General features: G+C 48.5%; 1 protein-coding gene across 12 annotated transcripts in view; it reads left to right on the forward strand.

Moving 5' to 3' along the window:
* The window catches only part of WDFY4 (WDFY family member 4), a 298,084-nt gene that overhangs the window by 5,633 nt on the left and 267,401 nt on the right, over positions 1 to 25,050 (forward strand). For 9 of the 12 annotated variants that reach the window (NM_001394531.1, NM_001370153.1, NM_001370154.1 and 6 more), the window contains exon 2: positions 19,211 to 19,461. In NM_001394531.1, coding sequence (NP_001381460.1) covers positions 19,228 to 19,461 — 234 coding nt within the window. In that variant the 5' untranslated portion in view covers positions 19,211 to 19,227. Of the gene's footprint in view, positions 1 to 1,766; positions 1,851 to 19,210; positions 19,462 to 25,050 lie in introns of all 12 variants that reach the window. The other 3 variants (XM_011539988.3, XM_017016463.2, XM_047425565.1) reach the window with 1 other exon arrangement.

Consider the following 25,050-nt stretch of genomic DNA (forward strand, 5'->3'; position numbering starts at 1 on the left):
AGGAGCTTTATTAAGTGTTAGAACAGCTAAAAGGAGACCTAGTGGGTAGCTTCTCTCTATAGGCAGGTTGTCCTGATGAGCACTCAGCTCTCAGCAGAGGGGATATGTCCTCTCTGCAGCTGGTTGTCCCTACGTCTGCAGCTCTCAGCAGAGAGGAGGCCCTGGAGAAGGTAGCTCTTCTCTGCAGCTGGTCCTCCTATAATCTTCCCAGCTCTCAGCAGAGAGTAACTCCTCCCTGCAGCTGGTCATCCAGTCGTCTCTCCATCCTCTGCTCTGTTCTGGCTGAACCCAGGGTTTTTATGGACCTCAGAGGGGAGGAAATGAGAGCCAACTGGGCCATAGGTGGCCATGAGCAGCCTGAAAAAGACAACACAAGTCCCCACTCTGGTTTGTGGGTCTGGTAGCCCAGCCCCCAGCCTTCAGGCCCTCCTTGGCTTGAAGGTGGGACCTTACCGGGGCCCTCCCCCACTCCACCCAGGAGCCTATCTGCCCCCTGCTGCCTTCCATGGTGCCCTGGCTGTTCATGCCAAGGGATACCTGAAGGCCAGTGCAAGTGGCCTTCAACCCCTTCCCCTCATCACAGCCTGAGGCAGGGGCTCCTGATCCTCACTGGGTCCAGGCCAGAATTTGGGACAGGGGCAACATCAACAGGAGCTCCCCCTGTTGCCAAGGCTGTCAGGACCCACTGGGGCAGAGCTAATCAAGGGTCCGGGCTGGATGTGGGAAGTGGCAGGCTCGGTGGTCACCCTGACTTAGGGTGGCAGACTGAGACATTGCCCTGGGTGTCCTGTGCAGAGCCTCCTCCCAAGGCGCAGGAGCCCAGCACCCTTGGTGTGGGCTGGCTGGGTCCCCGAAGTGGGCACCACTCCCACTTTCCACCCGGGCCCCTAAGCCTGACCCTAGCTCCACACTGGCACCCCTCTCTGCCTGACCATGCTGCTCTCCTGTCACGCTGCTCCCCTGCTGGCCGGCTGGCAACCCGGCCTGGCTCCATCATGGCAGCCCCCAGCGTAGCGGGCTGCTGGAGTTGGGGGGCTGTCTGCCTCCTCCCCTTGCCCTCCCTGCAGTGGCTGGCATGATGGCAGTGGCCGTACCAGACTTCCTGCTGCTGCCATCACTTGGATGTGAAAATTAGTAGGCATAAAGAGAAATATTTGTTGATTTTTGTGTTTTCCATGTAATAATAAGAAAATTTCTCAGTAGCGCTCTAATATCGACTTTTAAAAGGATAAGCACAAACTAGAAAGGGAAATGTAGTCAAAGATAAAGGTATGTACACATAAAGAAATTGTGTGGAGGATGGCCAAAACATGTGAGCAATTAGTAACGTTAAAACACGCTGTCAGGAACCCACTGATCAACTGTGGACAGAATCCAGGGAGAGTGGCCCTGTGTGCAGAAGGCTGCAGGGTGGCAGATGCTATAACAGAGGCAGGGTCGAGCACCCCTGCAGCTGTTTGTTCCCAGAGTCTCTGCCCTGAGAATGCCTGTTCTTTAGGAGAAGGAGGAGGGTAGCAATTAAAAGGGTGATGAAGCCCAGGATGGGGGGTGTGAGCCTCAGGGCACAGGCTCCTAAGCCAACCAGGAACCAAGCCTGCATGTCCAATGTATGCATAGCAGCTCCACGTGGTCTCAGCCTTCGAGTGGTGTGTAGGGTGATTGAATGGCCAGGCAGATCAGGGTGGCAAATGCCCAGATATTCAAAAGGGGAAAAGCCCAGGGCACTGCCCTGCTGTCAGATCACAGATTCTTGTATTTCCTTTTAGCCTCACACACCTGTGGGCCTGTGGGCCAGGACACCTTTACCCTATCCGAGTGACAGGAACAGAAGGGCGGGACAGTGCCCCTAGGTGAGTCTACACCTCTGCCAGTGGGCGGGATCCTCACAATCACCACCCTGGAAGACTGCCTTTGTTCCACAAAACACTTCCTTCCTCACACAATTGCAAGTGTCTGAATCATCTCATTTTTGAAGTGTGTATTTAATGTGATGATTTTCCCTCCCAAAGTGCTTTAATTAAATGACTGTAGCATTTTATAATCGATAGAGACTTTGAATTGAGGAAATACAAGAGTGAGAAAGAGAGCGTATTCATGAATAACAATGACATTAAGGAGGAACGGGATGGGAGCCGCAGTTGTTATAGGCAGTAGGCACTGAGGAAAATGATTGATTTGGGAATTAATGCAGGCCAACCCTTGTGTGGCCTGCCTGACTGTGCCAGCCAAGGGCTTTCACTGCCTAACTTCTCTTTTCTCCTGTACATGGGACAATCAAAGCCCTGCTGCCCGCTGTCTGCCTCACTGTTCCATTGTAATTACTGAGATCGTATCTTGATGCAGCCTTGAAAACTGGAAGGGGCTGTCGCCTGCTGGTGATGGCTGCCTTCTAATGGCAGGATGGCCCAATAGTGGGAGCAGTTTGAAAGTGGAGAGGAGCAGGGTTGCTTCTTGTGTTGAGGGGGGCAGCCATGAGCTGTGTCTGGAAGGTGGCATGTTTGGACCGTGGTGCTGAAGGGGGAGATTTCCAGGCAGAGGAGGTGGCCTGACTGAAGGCAGAGGGGTTATGGTGTGAGTGATCAGTGGATTCAGCTTAACCCCACTGAGGGTGCAGGGAGGAATTAGGCAAGGAGGGGGTTGAGTCCTATCATCAGGGCCACAAGCTTGGGAAGTTTCCCAGAGAACATGGGAGCTGCGGAGGACGTTTGCTCAGGGGAGGGACATGCTGGAGTTGTGCTGTAAAGTCTGACAGTGTGGGGTGGATGGGAGGTGGAGGGGAGCCTGGAGGCAGAGACTTGCTATGGTGCAGCCAGGGGACAGATGAGCAAGCAGAGGTGTTGGTGCCGGGCCCACTCTGGCCTACCAGCCTCATACAGGGCAGGCCCAGAGGACCTGTGTCACCCAAGCAAGTGGCATTCTCAGGCCCCTTGACCCCTTTCTGTTCTATTCAGATGCCATCCTCCCACCTCCTTCGGCACGTTGAATAATTAAGAAAATTATTCCTGGTACATTAAGAGGTCTGCCAGCTTGTGGGAGACTCATTCTGGTTAAACAAATATTCAGCTCTCAGAGGAGAAATCTGAAGCTTGTGAACCTGGGCAAATTTGAACAGCCGAACTTCACTGGCAGACACCTCTTTAAGGAGCATCTATTCTAAACGCTTCATGTTACAGGTGGGAAACTGAGTCACAGAAAAGCAAAGAGACTCAGCTTGGAGGCTGAAGCCCCCACTTCTAGTGGCTAGCAGTATATTTCCTTGCTCTTCTCTTAGGTGAAAAGCATCAGGAGCCAAGCTGTATCTGAAAGTGTCTCTTTTTCTCTTTAACCTAAAAGCAGAGTTTTCTGGGTCCAGGTTGGCCTGGCACAGGAGAGGACAGGGAACTCAAGAAAATGAGTCACTCTATCTGTGACGTAGGTGGTTTGTGCCCTCACTTTTTTGTGCTTTGATGAATCCGGAGAACTAAGAGATCTTTAATTCCTGAGGAGCCAGGCATGCATACTTCCAGATATGTTTCAAAGTTTCACTTGTGATTTTTGTGTCTTTATTCTGATCAAATTATTCTTGAAATTTAATCAGCTAAATGGGATGATTGTGTGACCAAACCAAGCCATCTGGAAATGTGTCAAAATCTTTCTTACCTTAGCACGTGAGATATAAAGGATCCTGCAAAGTTCCCCTGTCATTTTCCTTCTCTGGGAGTTTGGAGGGTGAGGAATCAGATGGGGGCTGCTCAGAGTCTGGAGACATTCCTAATAGAGTCCCTGGCTAAGCTTTCTGCCCTGTTCCTGCTCATATCCCTCCTAGTTGGACAAAGCCAGGTCTAGTTAAGCCCAGCCTCTCCTGTGGCTTTATTTCTTTCTCCTCTTTTCTCTAACCTGCCCACTGGGTAGCTTATTTCTACTTCCCTCCTACTCCCTCTCCAAAGCCCCTGCTTCTGTGACACCTCTTCCACCACCCCCTAGCCTCCTCCACCCCCATGTATTAGAGCATCCCTTTACCCGTCTCCTCTCCCAGGAGGCTGTGAGCTCCTGGTGGCAGAATTACCAGTGACAGGCAGCTGCCAGCTGCTCCTGTCACTCTCTGCTGAGAGCCCCACAGTGATTCCCAGGACCGCTCCGTGAGACAAGCACCATGTCCATGTCCATCGGCTTGCCACTCCGGACTCTCTGCAGGGCCCTCTCACCATGCACTCACTCAACCCCTGAGCCCCTGTCCCTGCTTTTTCTTGGACACCTGTGCCATTTGCCAGACACTCACTCACGCTGCCCGGGGTGCCTGTCCACTTACTGCCAGGGTCCATCCTTACTCTTCAGTGTCCACCACTGGCACCATATGTCCTAAGAAGACCTCCCAGACTTCTCCACCCTCCCCAGTCTGGGCCATAAGCCTCCTCTTGCCCCACAGCCACCACCACCCTGCCCAATGACTGTCCCACTGCATCTGCTTCCTTGCTGGCCCCCTGCTCCCCCTGAGCTTTGAAGTCCAGGGTGTGGACAGAGGGTGATCCTGCTCCTTGCATGTTTAATAATCCAGAGACCCACTACACGGAACATGCCAAGTAGAGCAGTAGCCCCAGTGGCTTTGCCTGGAGGACAAATGACTGACACTGAGTGTGCTGGTATCTGTGGAGGGAATGCTGGCCAAGGAGTGTCCACGTTGTCCAAGGCTAATGAACCCTTATCCTTGAGGCTCCCAGGGATCTGCTTTTCTCTGGGGCAACAGTGCAACCACAGAGTCTTGTTTTGGGCCTCCCAGCTTGTTGTGTGAGCTGCGGGCAGACAGCAGGTCTGGCTTGGATCTCCTATGGCTGAGGGTCAGCAACAACTATGCAAGTCCAGCCAGGGACTCCCTGCAACACTGCAGGCTTCAGCTAGTACCATGGCATATTCCACCACCACTGACCACTGCCTGAAGCCAACCTTGAGTGCTGGAAGAGGGAACCTGGGTTTGACCTTGATTCTGATGCTTGTCAGCTGTTTGATTTCAGATACATTACTTGTTTTCTGAGTCTCGCTTTACCCATCTGTACAGTGGGAATAGTAATGCCTACCTTACAGGTTTTCTAAGAGTAGAGAACATTGATGTCTCTGTTAGTAGATGGTCACTTTTCCATGGCCTTTCTTACCTAAGGGAACACTTTCTTACATTTCAGTGGAGACCGAGCCCTGATCGGCTCCCAGTTTGGAGAGGCTCACCACCTTTCCACAGGGACTGGGGCTTCTTGTAACCTGTGCTGTCTCCAACTCAGGTCTTTGTCCCCATCATGATAGCTCAACCATAGCCAAACTGTAGGGGTCCAGCCAGGGGAACTGCTCCCTGGCCATTTTTGGCAATGTGGAAGTAGGTACACATACCGAGATACAGAACCAGCCCCTTCCACAGGACACTGTGAGTTCCTGTATTCCGTTGCTGTTGCAAAAACCATAGAGGTGTGTGCTGACCAGGAGCCCAGTGAGGACTGGAATCAGAAAGAGGAAGTTTTGAGAGCCATGGAAGGTTTGCTGACCTGCCTAGTTCCTTCCAATGGGAGTCTCCATCTTAGTCTTCAGGGGATCCCCTGAACTTCTGGAAAACACCTGCATTGCCTCAGTCTCCTCGTGAGTCCTTTGAAGCAGGTGTAGGGCCCTGGGCCCTGCCATTCTCTGCCAGCAGGCACACTCAGCCCTTGGCCCAGGTAAGAAGTGGGGACACTCGCTGACTGGTGATGTCTAGGGCCGCACCGAGGTGATTGCTGGAGTTATCGTGAGTCCAGCAGCTGCGCCTGCTCCTGGCACTCCCTTGAGGAGGTGCTGGCCATGCAGGGCCCACAGGGAACCTCCTGAGTGGCCCACTCCTTGCTCTCCCACCTGCTGTCTGCAAGGCTGCCCCTGACTCCACCTGGCCCTGATGTGGCATTCCCCCAACACAGGCTTGGTCTTGGAGGCAGCCCTCCTGCTCGTGTCTCCACATTGTGTCCTCGCCAGGGCCAAATCCTCACATGCAGCACTGTCTGGCCATGCTCAGGCCCACATCTCTACGGCCCTGTCCTGACATCCAACAAACCAGCTCCTTGTGAGGAGACCCGAGATTGGACAGACTCAGCGGCCAGCCCAGGGGGAGGTGATGAAGGCAAAAGGAAGGGTCTAGGCTGGGACTAGGGCAGCTGACTCAGACCTTGGGGCTGAACCCCAAAGATGGATGGAGGCCCCAGAGCACACTTACAAAGGCCATGTGGGCTGAAGCTCCCAAGGGAAGTGCAGATTTTAAGAGCTTCGAGGCAGCAAGGTGCAGAATGCAGAAGAGGCCATGCAGTGCGCACTCTGTGGGCATCTAGCATGTACTGGACACCCTCTCACATATGTTGGCTTGCTTAATTCTTTCTGCAATGTTGCAAGGACGATATTGTTCCCATTTTACAGCTGGAGACATTGAGGTTGAGGGAGCCTGAGTCGCTAAGGTTACAGGTTAGGAAGAGATGGAGCTGGGATTTGAATCTGATCTATGTGATGCTGCTCTGGGTTGGCCTGGCCTTGGAGCTCAGGAGGGGTCAGGCTGGCCAGAGGGACTAGGTTCAGGGTGGTGGTGGTGCTTACCAGCGAGTCAAGGCCAGAGGTTGTCACACAGCCCAGGCTAACAGGCCCACTCCTAGATACATGGAGCTACTTGAGGTGGGCCTGGAACACTCAGGTCTCACCCAGCTCACAGGTAACTTAGGAGCTAATGTCAGGGCTCTGGACAACAGGCCCTGCCATGAAGCAGTAGAGACCTAGCAGGGGCTCCCAGCTCCCTTCCCGACCTGCTTTGTGATGTTCTATGAGCCACCCACATCTCTGGGCATCACAGAGCTCTGGGGGTCTTAGCCTCCCGTGTCTTCCTGGCCCCTGGCCTCACCTGGGGACGTGTTGCAATCACCTTAGACCTTGTAGCCAACACTTACACATGGCGCCACTCAGAAGTAAGTCACAATGTTGGGGAACCCGGCCTCCAAGGTGATCTGGTGAGTGGCCTGGGTGGGCGATGGCTGCTCTGTTTCCAAGCTCACCAGGCATCTGATGTGCAGGTGTGCATCTAACAAAGATGCACGTGTGACTTTTTGGAGTCAGATGCACATCTCGTTGGGTTATCTCCAGGGTCCCGCCTTCTTTCTGTTTCTAAGGCAATCCCTCTAACCAGAGTGATCATGGCCCCATACCTCCTGGCTGTTCTTTCTTCTTCTCTTTCCTGTTCCAGGCTTGGTTTACTGCCAGCCAGGACAACCTTTCTAGAATGGTGTTTCCTGGGCCATTTTCCTGCTTAGTACTTCCAGGGTCTCCCCATTACCCAGAATGCCAGGTCTAACCATGCTGGCCTCCCTTTTCTGGTCCCACATGACTTTAGGTGGCATCTTGTCCCACGGCCCCCATGTCACCTTGGCCTGTTTGCTGCATGTCTGCCTCCAGCTTGCTTCCTGCCTGGCCTTCTCTGAGTAGCCCTTCCATCCCCACGGGTGCGCCTGTCCTCCATGGCCCCATGCACATTTGTTCTCCTACGGTCCTGTGCCCCAGCTCTTGAGATGGCCTCCGAGGAGGGGATGCGTTGTCCATTACAGAGCCTCTCCTGTGACCTGCTTCTCGACAGGCCATCTCTTGGTGTCTCCCAGCAGCACATTTTTTCAGACGAGGATTGGCACTGTGGAGAGTCACTTCTGAGATTCCACAGCTCATGGCATGAGGAGCAGGAGCCGGAATGCAGGACTTGATGCCAGGTTCCAATTTTGCCTGCCCACGATGTCTGTCTTCTAGCGTGGGAGATTACACCAATCTCCTGCACATTTGAAGCACTCTGATGTCACTCTCCTGTTCCCAAGCGTGCCAGGGCTTGAAGCTTGTGGCTGTGGCAGTGACAAGGCCCCTGTGACAGTCCTGTTCCAGCTTTCTAGTGGGTGGGCCTTGCCTGTGCAGATCAGACCAAGATTTCCATGAAATGCTCTTTCTGAGCAGCAGTGGCCTCCCGGAGGAACAGTGAGGGGCAAGAGGCCTTCACCCCACTTCTGGCATGACACTGAAGACCTCTTTCTCTTGGGGGCCCTCTGTCGACCGTATCATGCTCAGTCTTTGCTCAATTTATTCTCAGTGGGGGAGACGGATTGAAGGTGTGGGGTTTATCCACAACCCCAAATATGGCTCCTGCTTTGCCTCATGCTTCTAAGAAGGCAAAGTTTAACGCTGTGCATGCCAAGTTGTACTGGTTCAATAAACGCTGATGGGAAATGTGGACAGGTCTGGCGGGTGAAGGGCTTTATCCAGGACAGCCATGCTGTATCCGCCGAGGCTCTCCAGAGAAACAGAACAATAGGATGTGTGCATGTGTGTAGGCAGAGAGACATTTATTTTAAGGTACTGGTTCACAGAATTGTGGCGGCTGGCAAGTTTGAAATCTTCAGAGTGGACTGGAGACTCAGGGAAGGGTTGCCGTGAGTCCGAAATCAGTCCGCTGGCAACTCTGGAGGAGATCAGAGGTCTCTCATGAAATGCACTATAGACCTAGCCGGCCCGTGCAGCCCCAGAAAGCACATGCTACAGGGCTCACAGCCCCTGCCACGTCTCCATTTCCTCCTCCACAGACAGCCACGCTCACCTGGTTTTTGCCCCAGGGGGAGGTGAGGTCTGGGAGGTGAGGAGAGGGAAGTGGGAGGTGGAGGGAGCAGAATGTCTATGGACAGGGCTCTCAGGGTGACCATGGAGAAGAGGGTGGGGCCTGGCCATAGCCACTCTGAGACAGCAGGCAGAGAAGGAGATCACACACTCAGTGTTCAGAGCTTTCAGTGTTGGGGCTTGCAGCATGGGGACTTCGGAGCCAGCAGGGGCAGAGGCACAGGGACCTATTGTAACATCCAGTGTCCCTCCTGTCCCCTTCACACCCCACACGCATACACACCAGAGCTCCTGCTGTCAGTTAATACATCACCGATGTGGGCAAGGACTTTCCCCACAGTGGAGAGTGGGGAGAGGAGGGGCTCCTGTTTTGGAGGAGCTAGACAACCTCAGAGGGAGAGTGGTGGAGAGGTTTTGGAGGCAGACAGATCTGGACCTCAGTGAGTTGCAGGCTCCTGCTCCCAGCCTCAGTTTCCTCATCTGAAAATGGTATCCCTAATGTCCACGTCTTGGAGTCATCATGCAGGCTGAAAATGCAAAAGTGCAGCTGGCCTGCCACACACTAAGCTCCCAACAAGGCTAAACTCCAGCTTTGCCTGAGACACTTTAGCCTCTCACACTGTGCTTTTTGTTTTTGTCCTCTTGGTCTACTCTCTGGGCTGAGAGGTGAGGGTGAGGGGTGATCAGGGCTTGCAGTAATGCTAGGTAAAATCTAGATGATAGGATTCTTCTGCTTCCAAAGTCCCTCTCCAAGGCTTCTCCTCAGGTGGTGGTCCTCCAGGTGTGGTCCCTGAACCAGCTGCCTCCTCACCTCCTGAGAACTCTTCAGAGGTATAAATTCCTGAGACCCACCCCAGACTTACTGACTTGTAAACTCTGGGGCTGGGGTTCAGAAATCTGGTTTTAACAATCTGTTCAGGTGATGCTGATGCATGCTGAAGTTTTAGAACCACTGCTTTTCAGAACAGTTTCTCCAGGAGGGCAGGTTTTAGGCTGAAGGTTCACCTCCCAGCACCACCCCAAGGCTGGCCATCAGCAGGCGAATCATCTCAAAGGGAGTCTCAGAGCACTGGTCCTTCAATCAGCTCTTTCCCCAAGGGCCCACAGGAAAGCCTGGAGGCTGTCATTCCACTGACATGAGTCCCCTCACCTACACTTCCCTCCTTTGCTTTGTACGTTATGTAGACTGTGCTTTGGGGGCCCTTTACCACATCCTGCAGGAGCTCCAATGCTCTTGCCCAGTTTCTGCAAATTCTCAGGGTCTTATGTCCTCCAAGCTACTTCTATCTCCTGATTTCTCTGATCTTGTCACTGGGTCTCATCTGTGTCCCCTTTGTTTACAATAGTGTTCCTCCCTTCCCGGAACTAACCCAGGTGTGGAACACAGAGCTTCTGTAATTGGCGTCCCATAATCCCTCCAATACAATGCCATCATGTGGCAAATGTTTACTGAAGCCTTGGCCCAGAAGGGAATTCTCACTCCTGAGAACACCAGCTGCGTGAGCACGCCCAGGGATGCTGCGCAAACGCACCATGCCTCCATCTCATCTCCACCTGGGGGTGGGAGTGTGTGGGGTCATGACAGTTCCTGTGCCATGGGCTTTTGGGAGAATTAAATCACGTTAGGTGGGCACAGCCTTTGGCAGGGGGCCTAGTGCGGAGCTAGCACTCAATAGATGCTATTATCGTTATGATTTTATCGTGGTCATTAAACTGGATGAATTATTTTCTCTTCCTTTATCTTTTATCTATTTATTGATTTTATTTATGAATTTATAATTGTAGTACATACCACAATCTATAAGTAACATAACATAAGATTCACCATCGTAACCATTTTTAAATGTATAGTTCAGTGGCATTGAGTATATTCACGTTGTTGTACAACCATCAGCACTATCCAGCTCCATTACCTTTTCATCTTGCAAAACTGAAACTCTGTGCCCATTAAACGCTACCTCCCCATGCACCCCTCTCCCCAGTCTCTGGGAACCACCATTCACCTTTCTGGCTCTATGAATTTGACTGCTCCAGGGACCTCATATCAGTGGATCACACAGCATTCGTCCTTTTGTGACTGGTTAGTTCACTTTGTATAATTCTCTCAGGGTTCATCCATGTCGTAGCATGTGCCAGAATTGTCTTCCTTTTAAAGGTTGAATAATATTCCATTTCATTGATTACACATTCATCTATCATTGGACACTGGCTTGTCTCCACCCTCTGGCCATTGAGAATAATGCTATTAGGAACATGGGTGTACACGTGTCTGCTTGTGTCCCCACTTTCAATTCTTTTGGGTATACTTTTACTTTTTGTAATTGACCTACCTTGTCTATTAGTTCAACCAGTTTGATGTAACAATCAATAATAAACATAGTATTTTTAATTGGATGCAAAAGTGGATGAGAACTTAAAGGACAGTCTCCCCACTTGACCAACGTGGAGGCTGAGGCCAAGGAAGGGCCCTGAGTGAGTTCTTATCTGAGGGTGGTTTCTGTGGACAGGAGCCTTGACCTGTCCCCAGCTGGTGGCATCTTGAGGAAAGAGGAAGTGTGGTTAAGGTGGAGCGTGTGGACTTTGGAGTCCGATGCACAGAACTTGGCTGGTGGCCCCGTGGGAAGCTATGGAACCACTCTGAGGCTCTTTCCAGCACCTGTGAAATACTACTGTTTACCACCTCGTGGGGTGTTGCTGTGGAGATAAAGATAGATGATACAGAGATAAAAATGCAGAGCTACTATAAAGTGAGCTCTCAGGGAGGGAAGTCACTGCTTTGATTAAATAGAGATTTCCATCCCCACTGTACAGGATAAAAGCTGAAGCCAAGGGACTAAAATCCCCACCTCTGGCTTTTCCATTAATTCTCTTTCCACCTCTGTACATGTTTTCTTAAAGTCAGGTTTACTGAAATACAATTTACATAAAAATAATTTTCTTTTTTTAGTGCACACTTTGGACAAATGTAGACTGTCATGTGACCACCACCAAGTAACTCCTCCTCCTGAAAGCTTACTTCATAGTGGCTCTGCATTTTCATCTCTGTATCATCTCTCTTTATCTTCACAGCAACACACCATGAGGCAGCAAATACTAGCAGTATTTGATGGCTGCTGAAAAGAGCCTCAGAGCAGCTCCATAGCTCAGAACTGCTACTAAATAGCAAGTTCTGTGCAGCTGACTCCAAAGCCCACACACTCCTCCTTGACCACTTTCAAGAAACAGGACATTTCTATCCCCCGCAAAATTCCATCCTGCCTTCGTAGTCATCCCCTTATCCCCCGTCCCTGGCAACCACTGATCTTATTTTCTCTCCTTAACAATTTTGCCTTTTCCAAAATGTCCTCTAAGTGGAATATGACAGTGGGTAGCCTCTTGGGGTTGGCTTCTGTCAGCTGACAGAAGGCCTTTGAGATGCAGCCAGGGTGCTGTGGGTGTTAGCCGTGTGTTCCTTTGTACTGTAGAGAGGGATTCTGCTGTATGGATGGATGATGGACCTGAGTTCATTTATTCATTCATTCTGTGAGGGGCATTTATGTTTTTTCCAGGTTTTGGCAGTGATGAACAGAGCTTCTAGAAACATTCATGTATAGGTTTTTGTAGGAGCATAAGTTTTCATTTCTCTAGGATGAATAGCTAGGGGTGGAATTCCTGGGGGTATGTTTAACTTTCCCCGAAACTGCCAAACTTCCTTCCAAAGTGGCAGTGCCACGTTTGCATTCCCACCAGCAAGGGTGAGAGTGGTGGTTGCTCTGCACCCTTGCCATCATCAAGTTTTGATTGCTTGTTGAAGACATACTAATTGGTGTGTCCTGGCATCTTGTTTTAATCATCATTTTCCTAATGATGATGCTGTTGTCCGTACTCAGTATTTCTGACAGTGTCAGCTGTGCAGGTAGATGTGAACGCTGTTCATAGTACATCACCTCTGTCTCTCTCCTCTTTTTAATTTGGTTTTAGATTGTAAGGTCTCCTTGTTGATGTGAAACCATGGGGAAGAGGGAAGCAAGCACTAGCCCCACCCTGAACATGTTTTAGGAACAAGAATGGCTTTGCTATTTATTTATTTATTTATTTTGGAGCGCTCTAGATTGAGGCCAAGACTCTGCTGAAAACAGGGGCGAGAGTGTTTGGATCGGCTGACAAGCAGTGAGGCACTGGCTTTTGCATGGAGAGGAAAACAGATCATTTACGGCCATGCATGCGAAGCCACTATTCTATTTTGTATCATCTGGTTTAGAGGCTTCCCCAGCTCCAAGGCCTGAGGGCCATGGCCCATTATGGAGATGGCAAACAGGCAGTTTCTGCACCTGGAGTTTATAATCTGGAAATGAGAATAGTTGCAGAGGCTGACAAGAAATGGGGAAAGAATTTTAATCTTTAATTTTTTCAAAGCAACTCTTTGTCTGCAGGCCCCAGCTTTTCTGCAGAAGGCACTGAGTCCCAAGCTAACCCTTTGGGTCATTCCACATGTCTTCTTGCTCTGGGGCAGCTTTTCCTGGGAACAGCTTCTTGGCATCTTAGCTCCAAGGGCGCTGCTAGATCACATCTCACATTCTGAGACTCCCAACTCTGCAAATCACTCAATAGAAAGTCAGGGATGAAAACAGTCATCAAAATGTTTACTTAGCAGCCCAAATATCAGCAACCCAGCAGTTGCTTCATGCTCCAGATGTTACCCTTCATTGGGGCCGCTGTGCGCAGAATGCCTGGTGTGGGTTGTTACAATGCAGAGCGAGCTCTGATGATGCTATGTATCCCTGCAGGGTGGGTGGGGTGCAGGGTGAGGGTGGATAGTGACACCAAGAGACCTGGGGGCATGCATGGCCACTCCCAGCACTGGTGCTGCTGAGGTCACAGGGAATCCCTCCCTCTTGGGTCCCTGCAGGCTCGCCATCTGGTTCCCTGCACATGGCACAGAGGAAGGGGAGACCCCATCACATACACACAACCCACAGACTCTGGGCTCCTGTGGGGGTCCCTGCAGCCCTTCAGCTTCTCACTATGCTGGACCTCTTCCCATTGTTCATGCAGGAAGGGCAGAGAGGGACTGGGATCACCGGGACCATGTGGATGAGGAGAAGCCGAGTCTCAGAGAGGGGAAGTGACTCAGTTAAGACACCACAGGGGCCAAGTTTGACCTGGACCCCTGCCTGTGACTCCCATCCTGGCCCCACTGCCCCCTCTGCCTCGTGGCTGTGTGAGAAGGCAAGTTTCTGCCTCAGGAGAGCAGAGCTTCCAACCTGGCTGGTCAGGGATGTGGAGGGCCAGAATGCCATGTGCCCTGAACCCATCCAAGCTGGGACACAGCACGGCCGGCAGGGAGGAGTGGTCTTGTCTTTTCCTGGAGGCTCTGGGACTCCCTGCAGCCTCCTGGCCTCTTGCTCTGCCAAGGCCATATTTCCCTGAACCCTTCCCCTAAAAGCCCACCTGTCCAAGAACCTTTCCAGGGTAGCAAGTCTTCCCCAGCCTGTGTGACCGGGTATAGTAGTTTGCCAAGCCCCTCTCCCCATCCTCAGCCCCAAGCAGCCACAGTGTGAGCCCAGCTGCCTGTGTGCACTGCTGGGGGTGTGCTGGGCAGCAAAGCCTGGGCTGTCCACAGACCTGGGGGCTTCTGCTCTGGTCACCGACTGGCGAAGGGACCCTGGCCAAGTCACCTCTCTGCTCCCACCTCAGTACCAGCTGTGGACGAAGGCTGCTAGCTTTGCTGTCACTGGATATCAGAAGGATTACATGAAGAGATGCATGTAAATGCCTGCACTAAGTAGGTGCCAGTAAATATGCATTCCCTTAATCCTAATAGTGACCTGTGCCAAGCTGACTAATGCTAGAGGGGCCCTGGTGAGAGAACCTGTTGTCATCCCCACTTTACAAATGAGGACCATGAGGCAGGGATGGGTCTTGCCACTTGGTCTAAACCCACTGTGTTCAAACCCCAGCAGTCTGGCCCCAGAGTCTGTGCTGGGAGCCAAACATGTCTGAGAGTAGAATCCCCAGGAGCCAAGGTCCAGACGTGGTGTCTGTTTAACAGGTTGATTTTTATGAAAAATGCCCTGAGCTCAAGTTCCCACAGTGGAGAGTGAAGTTGGGGGATGGTTGGGAAGCACAGGTTTGGATCCTGTTTTTATTTAAAATTTTGTTCATCATGGATTTCTTGACATTAACTTTGATCTCTAAAACTGTTGCATAAAATTATCATTTTTGGCACCTCCTTAAATCTTGTGAGGAGGTGAGTGCCTCCTTCATTGCCCTACCCTCACCCTGGCCTCGCCTGGGACTCCCACAGTGACCCTAAGCCCCGATGGGTCCCTTTTCACCCTGGATAAGAAGAGGCTGCTGGCTTGTAGGTGGGGCACTTCTTGAGAATGAGACGGATGAGAGTGTTTTTTTCTTGCTGTTCTTCACATGGCCTGCAAGCCTACTCCCTGTTTCCTTCTCTTTTCAAATAAAACTGGAGCAGGTGTGGCACGATCAGCAGATGAGCAGGAGGTGGGGCAGCTGCAGCTTGGCATTTGAGTCAGATGCTGCTGCCACGCAATTTCAGGGGTCCGCATTAGTTAGAAATCCTTGTTTATCAAAAATCTTTGCCGATTCAAGTGAAGGTGAGTCAAGTGTTTCACTTCAGCAAACGTGGCTTCTGCACTTCAGAGGAGAGCTGGGCGGTTTCTGATCCTTTCTCTGGATCTCCAGCTAAGTCCCCACCCATCGCAGTTCCATATTCTGCCTGATGCTCACTTGACTTGCCACTTGCTGGTCCTGAAGATGGGGCATGTTAGCATGTCCTCAGACATGGTTTACTGATAGAGCCAGTTAGTAAAGCCTGCAGGTGTGGCCACAGAATGAACTTTATATGGTAGAGACAACACTAAGCTTGCTGTTACCATGGCTTGGGGCTGGCTCTATTGGTGCTAGGGATGGCAGTTTGGTTGGACACAGTGGCTTTCAGAGTCCTGGGGAAATCCTAGTAGAAATCTTGGAGTGGGAAAAATGAACTTGTTCCAAAGAGGGGTCTAGGCGAGAGAGAGAGAGATTGAGATTTGGGTGCCATCAGCACGTAGGTTAATTCGTTCACGGATTCATTTATACTTTCATTCGTTTATGCAATAACATTTTATTGAGAATCTACTCTGTGCCAGCCCCTGCTATGGACATAACATCCTTGCCTTCACAGAGCTAATGTTTAGTGGATATGTGGCTCTCAGTGGTAATTAGAGCCATGAGAATAGCTGAGACCTCCTTACAAAGAACCCATGAAATGAGAACTCACTGGAGTCTGACTCCAGAACACCAGCTGCAGGGAGCTCTGCAGGAGACCGAGCCTCAGATGGAAACATACTTAGCTCCTCACTCTGCAGCAAATGCGCAGTGAGAAACAACAGAGATGCACTTGCTTTTGATTTTATTCTACCTGTCAAATTATCAGGGTTAAAAAAAAGGGTAATAAAAAAAGATTACACATAGGGAAGCTCGAGCTCTTGTACACTTATGTAGAAGGAATGTCTGTCCCTTGATAGGATTGGTGTTTCAGGAGCAGCCGTTTGGAAATATGGATCAAGAGGCTGGAAAATTTATCTATCTTTAGATCCAACTATTTCCTTTTAGAAATTCAGGAATGGATTAGGATTTGTTATTTTATCATGAATATATAAAAAAGACTTAGACATGAGGATTGTCATTACAGTATTTTTTTATAGTACTGAATAATTGGATATCACTTAAGTGCCTAAGTGTAAGGGCTTATTAAATAAACAAGCAACATTACTCTATGGCCACCATGCAGCCATTAAGAATAAAGGCATTGAGGATCTTAAGTGATGTGGAAAATATTCATGATGTGCTGTTTTGACTACAAAGAAAGTTATGGACTAATTTATTAAAAAATGGATTGAGAGAAGATATCTGTAATTTTCAAAACTAACAAAGGACCAGCTTCTAGAGTATACTCTCATGAAGCAGCAAGAGAAAGACAAGCAAGGAAAAAATAAGCAAAGGTTATGAGTAGTGAATTCACAGAGGAGAAATGCCAAAAGGCTAACAGGCATGTAAAGGGATGCTCATACTCATTAGTAACTTAGAGAAATGCAAATTAAAATGACAATGCAAGGTCTCTTTCCTTCAATCAGATTGCAAACACTGGAAAGCTGGGTGATGCCAAGCAGGGTGGTAATGAGGTCACTGAAGAGCCTTCAGATGCTGTGGGGGAGATGGCCTGATGCCCGCTTTCTGGAGGCATCTTAGTTTGTGGAACTTAGTTGAACTGAGCAGTCATACTCCCTTGATTCAGTTCTGCTGCCCCTGCCTTCATACCCAGAGTCAGTCATGAAAGCCCAGTGAAGGGACCCACGCAGCAATGTCCACCCCAGCCCTGTGTGCTGGACTGAATGTTGTGGCTAATCCAGCCATCTATCAGAGAAAGCCAACAAGTAAAATAGGCATGTGATGCCCACTTTGGAACACAAGGTAGCAGTTAGAGGAAATGAACTTGACAAACACAGAGACACGTGGTGGAGTCTGAAGACATAATGCTGGGTGAAAGAGTAAGAGCAGAAAAGATGCAGAAGAGCATTTGCTAACTTAAGTGTATGTGGATGGAAATCAGGTGCTGTGTGTCATACTCTGTAAGTTCCATGCTGGTGGAATCATACTCACCAAGTGAGAGTGTGGGTGGGGTGGGGACACAGGGAATGCGAATGGAGAATGGAGGTCCTGGTGATAAAGAAATAAATGAACACAGCCAGACAGGAGCCCACCCAGATCAGGGAAAAGGCTAAGGGATGTGAGCAACTCCACACACTGCCTGCCCCTTAGAGTTAGCCCCCCAAAAGAAACAACTTAATCCCCCACAAAACCCCATCCCAGTGCCCAACAGAAGCAAAAGTATAAATAAAGTTTGCTTCAACAATATTATGATCGTGTTCTTACTAAACTATATATTCATAGATAGAAGCTGGAATGTCAGCAGTCATGTTTTCTGGGTATGGGCAAGCATTATGTTCTTCCTGATTTTTTGTTTCCTCCCAGTTTTTGACAATGAACTGACATGGCTTTTGTAATAAGAAAATTATTCCTGAAAATAAAGTCAGAGAGTAAGCAGTCTGTGTGCTCGAAGAGGAGCTGGGGGAAGGCTGGGTTCTGCACATAAAGAGTGAGAATGTTTCAGAGAGGGCTGGTTATCCTTGCCGGTGTCACGTGGCTAAACCCCATTCTAGCCTTCAAGGAATGTGTGTTTGGGCTAAAAATAAAGCATGATGTAACCCAACCACTGCTGTAGCCAAGAGGAAAACACTGGGAGCCCACTTCTCTATGTCCCTCTGGTCACTACTTTGTGATTGTTGAATGCCTGCTGGGCACCCGGATGGCTTCCTACGTGGTAATGTTGAGTTTGGTGAGGGCTTTTATTCAGGGATCCTGAACATTTTGGTCCCTTCTGAGAGTTTACTGAACTGCAGACAAACAAACAATAAACTATCCTATGTTATGGTGTAAGTCATAATTGACTGACAACTTTTGAAGGTGTGTACCTTTGGGAGGTCACTTATTGGTGAATTGGCCCTTGGCTGTTTTCATCGCATAAGTTTTTGTTCTTGTGCCTACTGGCTTGAGGTTCCCAACTTGCAAACACTGCTCCTGTGTGCACTTAGAGATGAGCTCTTGTAAGCTTGGGGACTTAAAGGGTCATTTTGAGAATAAAATACTCTAAAAATATCAAGTATAAACCAAATAATGCTTAGAATGAGGAATCTATCCTTACAGACCCATCATAGAAGGAAGTTCTAGATATAGAATTATGTGCCTCTACAAATACCAGTGAACTATTTACATCTCTTTTATGTATGCAGCCTTTTAAAAGAGAAGCAGCAACAAGTGAAAAAAAAACAAACAAACAACACCCCCCCCCCCCAAACAGGCTTTAGTGTGAAAGTTTGCATTTCAACTTGACGTCTAGCTGCCTGTATGCCTTTGGCCCAGTTTCCTTACTTACCTAGAGAGAATAAGAGCACACATCTGGCCGGGCGCGGTGGCTCACGCCTGTAATCCCAGCACTTTGGGAGGCCGAGGCGGGTGGATCATGAGGTCAGGAGATCGAGACCATCCTGGCTAACAAGGTGAAACCCCGTCTCTACTAAAAATACAAAAAATTAGCCGGGCGCGGTGGCGGGCGCCTGTAGTCCCAGCTACTCGGGAGGCTGAGGCAGGAGAATGGCGTGAACCCGGGAAGCGGAGCTTGCAGTGAGCCGAGATTGCGCCACTGCAGTCCGCAGTCCGACCTGGGCGACAGAGCGAGACTCCGTCTCAAAAAAAAAAAAAAAAAAAAAAAGAGCACACATCTGTCTGTGTGGCTGTAGGAGAGTCTGTCTGAGTCTTGTGTATAAGACCCCACAGTGCTGGGCACACACTAGATTGTGAACTTGTATTAATCACATCTAAATCTGAATCCCCTTTTTAAAAAGGCTTCCTTATTTTAGTCTGTTTCAGATTCTTAGGGGAACCATTTTCAATAGAAACTGGGCTGAGTGAGTACAGTACCTTATCCACAGCCAGAATCATCAGGAAGTGATGTGACAGGAATGTTCACTTCTATTTGTTCTGAATTCAGATCTGCTTTGCCACGGCATGGAGGCAGAAGATCTTTCAAAGGCTGAAGACAGAAATGAAGACCCAGGTTCCAAAAATGAAGGGCAGCTTGCTGCTGTGCAGCCTGATGTCCCACATGGAGGGCAGTCCTCCAGCCCCACAGCTCTCTGGGACATGCTGGAAAGGAAGTTTCTGGAATACCAGCAGTTGACTCACAAGAGCCCCATTGAGCGTCAGAAGAGCCTGTTGAGTCTTCTCCCCCTATTCCTAAAGGTTAGTGTTCTTATTTTTGAAACTGTAAGGTGATAGGCGCTCTGGGACACTTCTGGGATGATTGCATAGTGAAGTTGATGGTTTTAATGTCATCCCAAGTGGACTCTGATTGGTTGCTCAGGGGAGTGTTGTCTTAGTCTGCTAGGGCCACTATAACAAAATGCCATAAACTGGGTAGCTTAGATGCAACAGACTTATTTCTCATAGTTTGGAGCCTGGGAAGTCCAACATTAAGGCACATTAAGTGTCTGGTAAGAGCTTACTTTCTGGCTCATAGAAGGTGCCTTCTTGCCATGGCCTTATGTAGTGGAAGGGGTGAGGGGCCTCTCTCAGGCTTCTTTTATAAGGGCACTAATCCCATTCATAATGGTAGAGCCAAATTGTTTTCCAAAGGCCCTACCTCCTGACACCATTACCTTAGAGATTAAAATGTCACTATATGAATTTTGGGGAGACCCTAGCGAGAGTGTCATGCCAAAGATGACAAGCAAGGCTCATTTCTAGGGTAGGGAGGGACTTAGAAAGGACAGACAGTTAGCTTCTGAGTAATACTGTCTCTTTAGTTAAAAAATATTACATTGTTCCATCACAAACCCAGTTTGGGAGCTAGAAATAAGACCAGCTTCTTTGGGAGGGAGGAGAAGATGGTATGTCCTGACACAAGAGTCACACAGGTGGCTGGCAACCTCACACCCCAGGGATGCCAACACCAAGGCCTGGAAAAGCCAGAATATCTTGCATCAAATTGTGACAATAATGCAAAGTGAGGTAAAATCAGTGGAAAGCACCAGAGCTTCACTCACATCCCGGTCACAGCTCCACGAAGGAAACCAGCGCATCTACTGGGTCTGCACTCTAGCTAGTGGCAGCTGGTGACAGCTTGGCTGCAAGGGATTTCCTTTGTTATCTGGGAGCAATACTCCTGCCAGTGAGGTCTGCCTTATAGTTGAAGTCTAGTTGTAGCATTGAAAGCACTTTTTATAAGGACTTAGTGTTTACTTGACTATGGATTTGGGGTTATTTTTGAAAAGCGTATACCTACAAAATATTCAAAGCAGAGAGAACAAGAGCTACTTTTCACGTTTGAAAGTAGACTATGGCAGATGGAGGCTTTGGCATGTTTTCACTGCTAAATGCCTTTGTGAATATATTTCCTCTAACTTATTCATCAGAAATATTTAAGGGTTTCCAAAGATTACTTAGAATCTTGTTGGGAACACGTTTATAGGATGCATTCCATACTTAGCATTAAACAGTTGCCAAGTAACTCACTGTCCATTAATTCATCATTTTCCTCCATGTTTTGGACTTGTAGTCCCATTCATCTCATTTCACAGACTGCATAACTAGGGCTAGATTAGTAAAGATAGCTAAAGATTCTCAGCCCTAGCCCTGCCTGCCCTGACAGCCCCAGATTCTGGGAGGTGCGACAGTCTTACCCCAGTTCCCAGATCAACTTTGCCTTATGGAAGGGACAATGTGAGCAGTCCCCAGCCCCCAGTGCAAGTCACTGGCAATGGGGATGAGTTCAGCCATTACTGAGCTGCTAGTTCTCGGTGACACTTTTCCCACCTGCATGGGCAGCCCGGGCTCTGATGAAAGGACTGCACCCAAGAGCCAGGACTTGATTCTTCTTCACCTCCCTGATGTTTATTTGAGAGTTCATTTGTTTGTTGCACCAATATTTATTAAGCTCCTATACTCTGCTCTAAGGCCTGAAATATAGGAGTAAAGAAGACAGAGGTGACACACCACCCTCATGGTGAGTGTGGCCCAGAGCAGACGGCATCGAATAGCACACTGTGTATTTCATTTGGCCTGCAGGGGTTCAGAATGAACTAGTGGCCATTTTTTTTCAAAATGGAAAGTTTTCATATGAAAATCAGATTTCTAATTTATCTTGAAAATTTTGGTAGATCTAATACTGACGGTTGTATGGGAGGGGTTATGGGGTTCCCCAGCTAACCTCGGAGCTCACTCCAACATCTTTCACCCAACCCATATTACTAATGAATGTTATGTCACCGTACAGGCATGTGAGCTTGTGACTCCATATTTAAGTGTTACTATTATAAGTGAACCTTGATACTGGTCTTTGTTTTCCACACCCTGTCCCTATAATTGGAGGCATAATGACCCTGTTGTTGAACATGTGGGCTTTCTAGTCAAACAGATCAAGGCTCAAGTCCTGGCTGCATCACTTATTTATTAGTTGTGTGCTGTTGAGCAAGTTACCAACTATTGCTGAACCTCAGTTATCCATAAAGTAGAATTAATAGCATTTCAATGAGAAACCATGAGGGTAAGACAAGACAATGATTATAAAGTCCACAGCTCATGGAAAGTAGACATTATTCCCATTACTTTTCCACCAGCCTCCAGTGTACTTACTGCACATGGACTGAAGCCTTTGAGATTCCTGTCGCCAGGATTCCCTAAACTGCTGACACAATCTGCTACTCTGGATCCCTGGAACCCACCTCTGGCAAACCCTGCAGAGGCAGAATATTATAGGCTTCTCATAATTTTCTTAATATCTGTATTATTTTATTAAGTCCTACATGCCTATGAAACATGGTTTCTATTACATTCTGACGGACTAATAAAACCCTGCCAGAGCCAGAGTGCTCAGCCTTCTTAATTAATAGTTGGTGGTGGAAAGAAAGGTGGGGAAGATGGGAGATTTTTCTCAGGTGTAGTGCAGATCAAATCTAACCTGAGATGAAGCATGAGAACATTTACTGGAATATAGGCCCTTGTGTAAGAAGATAAGCTTGTAACCACTCTGTTCTGAATTTTATAACCACAAAGCAGTGTTCTTTAAGGTTTTCCATGAAGTTCCCCCTTGGAAATAACAGAACCTAAAATGTTATGCCACTTCTCCCGGAATGTGGCTGTTAACATCAAAGCCTTATACATGTATTGGTTGTCATGGAAATCATACTCTGCCTGGGCTCTGAGACTCCTGAGTACAAACAAAGAGTCCTGAACTCCCATGTGTGATGGAGCTCAACTCTATACCTGACTCTTCATTTTGGCCCAAAGAAAATTAATTAAGATTATTTGGAATATTCTTTGTTCCAAAGCAATGCACACAAGGGATTTTGAATTGTCACTTCTGCTCGGAAAGGCCATGTCCCTAGGGTGTGGGGTCTTGTCTGACTGACCCCCAGCCTCTTTGTCGGTCAGACTCTGCATGGAAGCGGTGATCTATGTTGTAGTTGGGGCTGGGTGAATCAGGTTGACAGCTGTGTGTGCCTCTCCTAAGTTGCTGTCACCTGGTAGCTTCAAACTTGTGAGTCTTGAGATTTGACAATGGGCATTGTCTTGTGCATCAGACTCCCTCAGAGCTACTTCTTTGGCATCTTCTTCCCAGAAAAGAACTTCCCGTTAGCCTGTTTGGTTTTCTTCCATATCTGACTCCTTCAAACACGAGCACTGAACTTTCCTCTATCCCTGTCTTTGTTTATACTTGAATCTGCAGTAACTGCTAGGCAAGTACAAAGGTGGGCTTGGTTTGTGGTACAGTGAATCCCAGCCCCACTGCCTCTTGAGTTGAAGAGTGGCTGCAGGGGTGCTAACCCAGTCAACATTTTGGCTATTGTCTAGGTAATAAGGAAGAGCCTAATGGGATCTCAACAAACTGGAACCCAAAAAGGGAGCTTCCCTGAGGGGAGGAGTGAGAAATGGGATTCTCATCCAGAACAGCAGGCTCCCTCCTCACCTAGGGTTCCTCACTCCTCTTGTTAGGTCAAAGAGTTCTTAGCCAGGGCAAGGTGAAGGATGTTTCAGTCCTGATCTAGGGTCAGATCCTTCCAACCTAGCCTCTACCCCTTTTCTTTTATTTCTTTTTAATATCACCCTATTCTTTCTTTGACCTGTGCTAAGCAACCTGTATATTAGAAATGAGACTAAGAGATGAAATGATGCCCTAGGTTCCAATACTAGCAAGGGGCAGAGCCAAGACTTAAACTCAGGCACCCTGATGCCCAGGTGAGCAGTTGCTTTCACTGATGATAGCTAGGTAATATCCTACAGGTTCTAACTAGCTAGCCAGACATTCTGTTCAGTGTTTACATGTCCTCACAATAACGCTGTGATGTAGGTAGTATTTTTATCCCAGCTTTATAAATGAGGAAAGAGAGGCTTAGGGATGTTGCATAACTTGGCCAAAGTCACCCAATTGTCAGCTGGTAGCAGAATGTCACCAGGGCAGTCTGCTGTAGGTCTGCATTATTAACCACTGGATGTCCTTGCTCAGTGCTGGGGTTTCTAGGATAAAGCAGGTCTGGTTTGTCTTTCCTTATTTCATGACTCACTGGACAATGGCTTTGCCTGGCTAAGACCTTGCCTTTTCCTTGGGCTCAAAAAGAATGTCTCCCCCACACATAGGATGTTTAGATTGCTGACTGTAGGATGTTGCAGATAAGGAGGAAGTTTTATTTCATCACATGGAAGCAACACAGAGCCAATGACTTCTGTGGTGTGCAGAGTAGTGTTTTTAAGAAAGACTCAATAGGCTGTTGTTCTTTTCCTGCCAAGAGCCTTGGGGTTTGGTCTTTTCAGAACCTTTCCCATCGTATGGTCTCACACCAAGGGAAGAAGGTGTTCTTCTAGCAATCATGGGAAGGTGCTGGTTTTGGGGGAAGAAAATCACTTGAGGTCCTCATTTTGCACAGAGATATCCTGTAATAATAGAAATGGGGAAATCTAGAGCTACAGAAGTAGCCAATGAGGTTTATTCATAGAATGTGGACTTTGAGAGAAAGCAGAAAGTAAAATAGAGAATCCTCAGCAATTAATGCAAAATCTATCAGTGTCTGAGATAGACAACTTGGGAGGTGGGACCACATTGGAGAAAAGGGAAATATGTGGATGTGGTAGATTAGAGGTGCTGTGAATGGGCTCACACTCCTCCCTTCAAGAGGTGGGATCTTTATCCCTTCCCCTTGAATCTAGATGGATTTGTATCAACTGGGCTAATGGGACAAGGCAGAAGAGACATTTCCAAGCATAGGCCTCAAGAGGCTCACAGCTTCTTCTGCCTCTCACTTGGCATACTCACTCCTAGAGTCTAGCTGCCATGTTGTAAGGAAGCCCAAGTAGTTCTGAGTGAACACCTGTGTGGAGAGGATCCAAGGCCCTGACCTTGAGGCTGCACTTGCTGCTGACTGCCAGCACCATCTTGTCAGCCCTGTGAGCACACCCACAATCTTGGAAGTGGATCTCTTAGCTCCCATTAGCTGCCCTAGCAGAATGGAGCACAGAAAAGGTGTCCCTGCTGAGCCCTGCCCACATTGCAGATCCATGAGCAAAATAAATGATTGCTATTATTTTAAGCCACTGAATTTAGGGGTGTTTTGTCATGCACAACAGGTAACTGGAAAAGTGGGTAACATAAGAAGGAATACATCCATTTCCTAGTATGAAGGGATTGAAATGAACACTAACTTAGTTGTATTTAGAGGTGAGTGTATTTTGGTGTTTGTGTGTGTGCATATGTGCACATTCCTAGGCTGACTACTAAGCCAATGGTGCAGAGTTTGTGATGTTGAGTATGATTGATCATTCTTGTAAAAACCAAGTGTG

Source organism: Homo sapiens, chromosome 10 (assembly GCF_000001405.40).
Source record: "Homo sapiens chromosome 10, GRCh38.p14 Primary Assembly".
Lineage (NCBI taxonomy): Eukaryota > Metazoa > Chordata > Mammalia > Primates > Hominidae > Homo > Homo sapiens.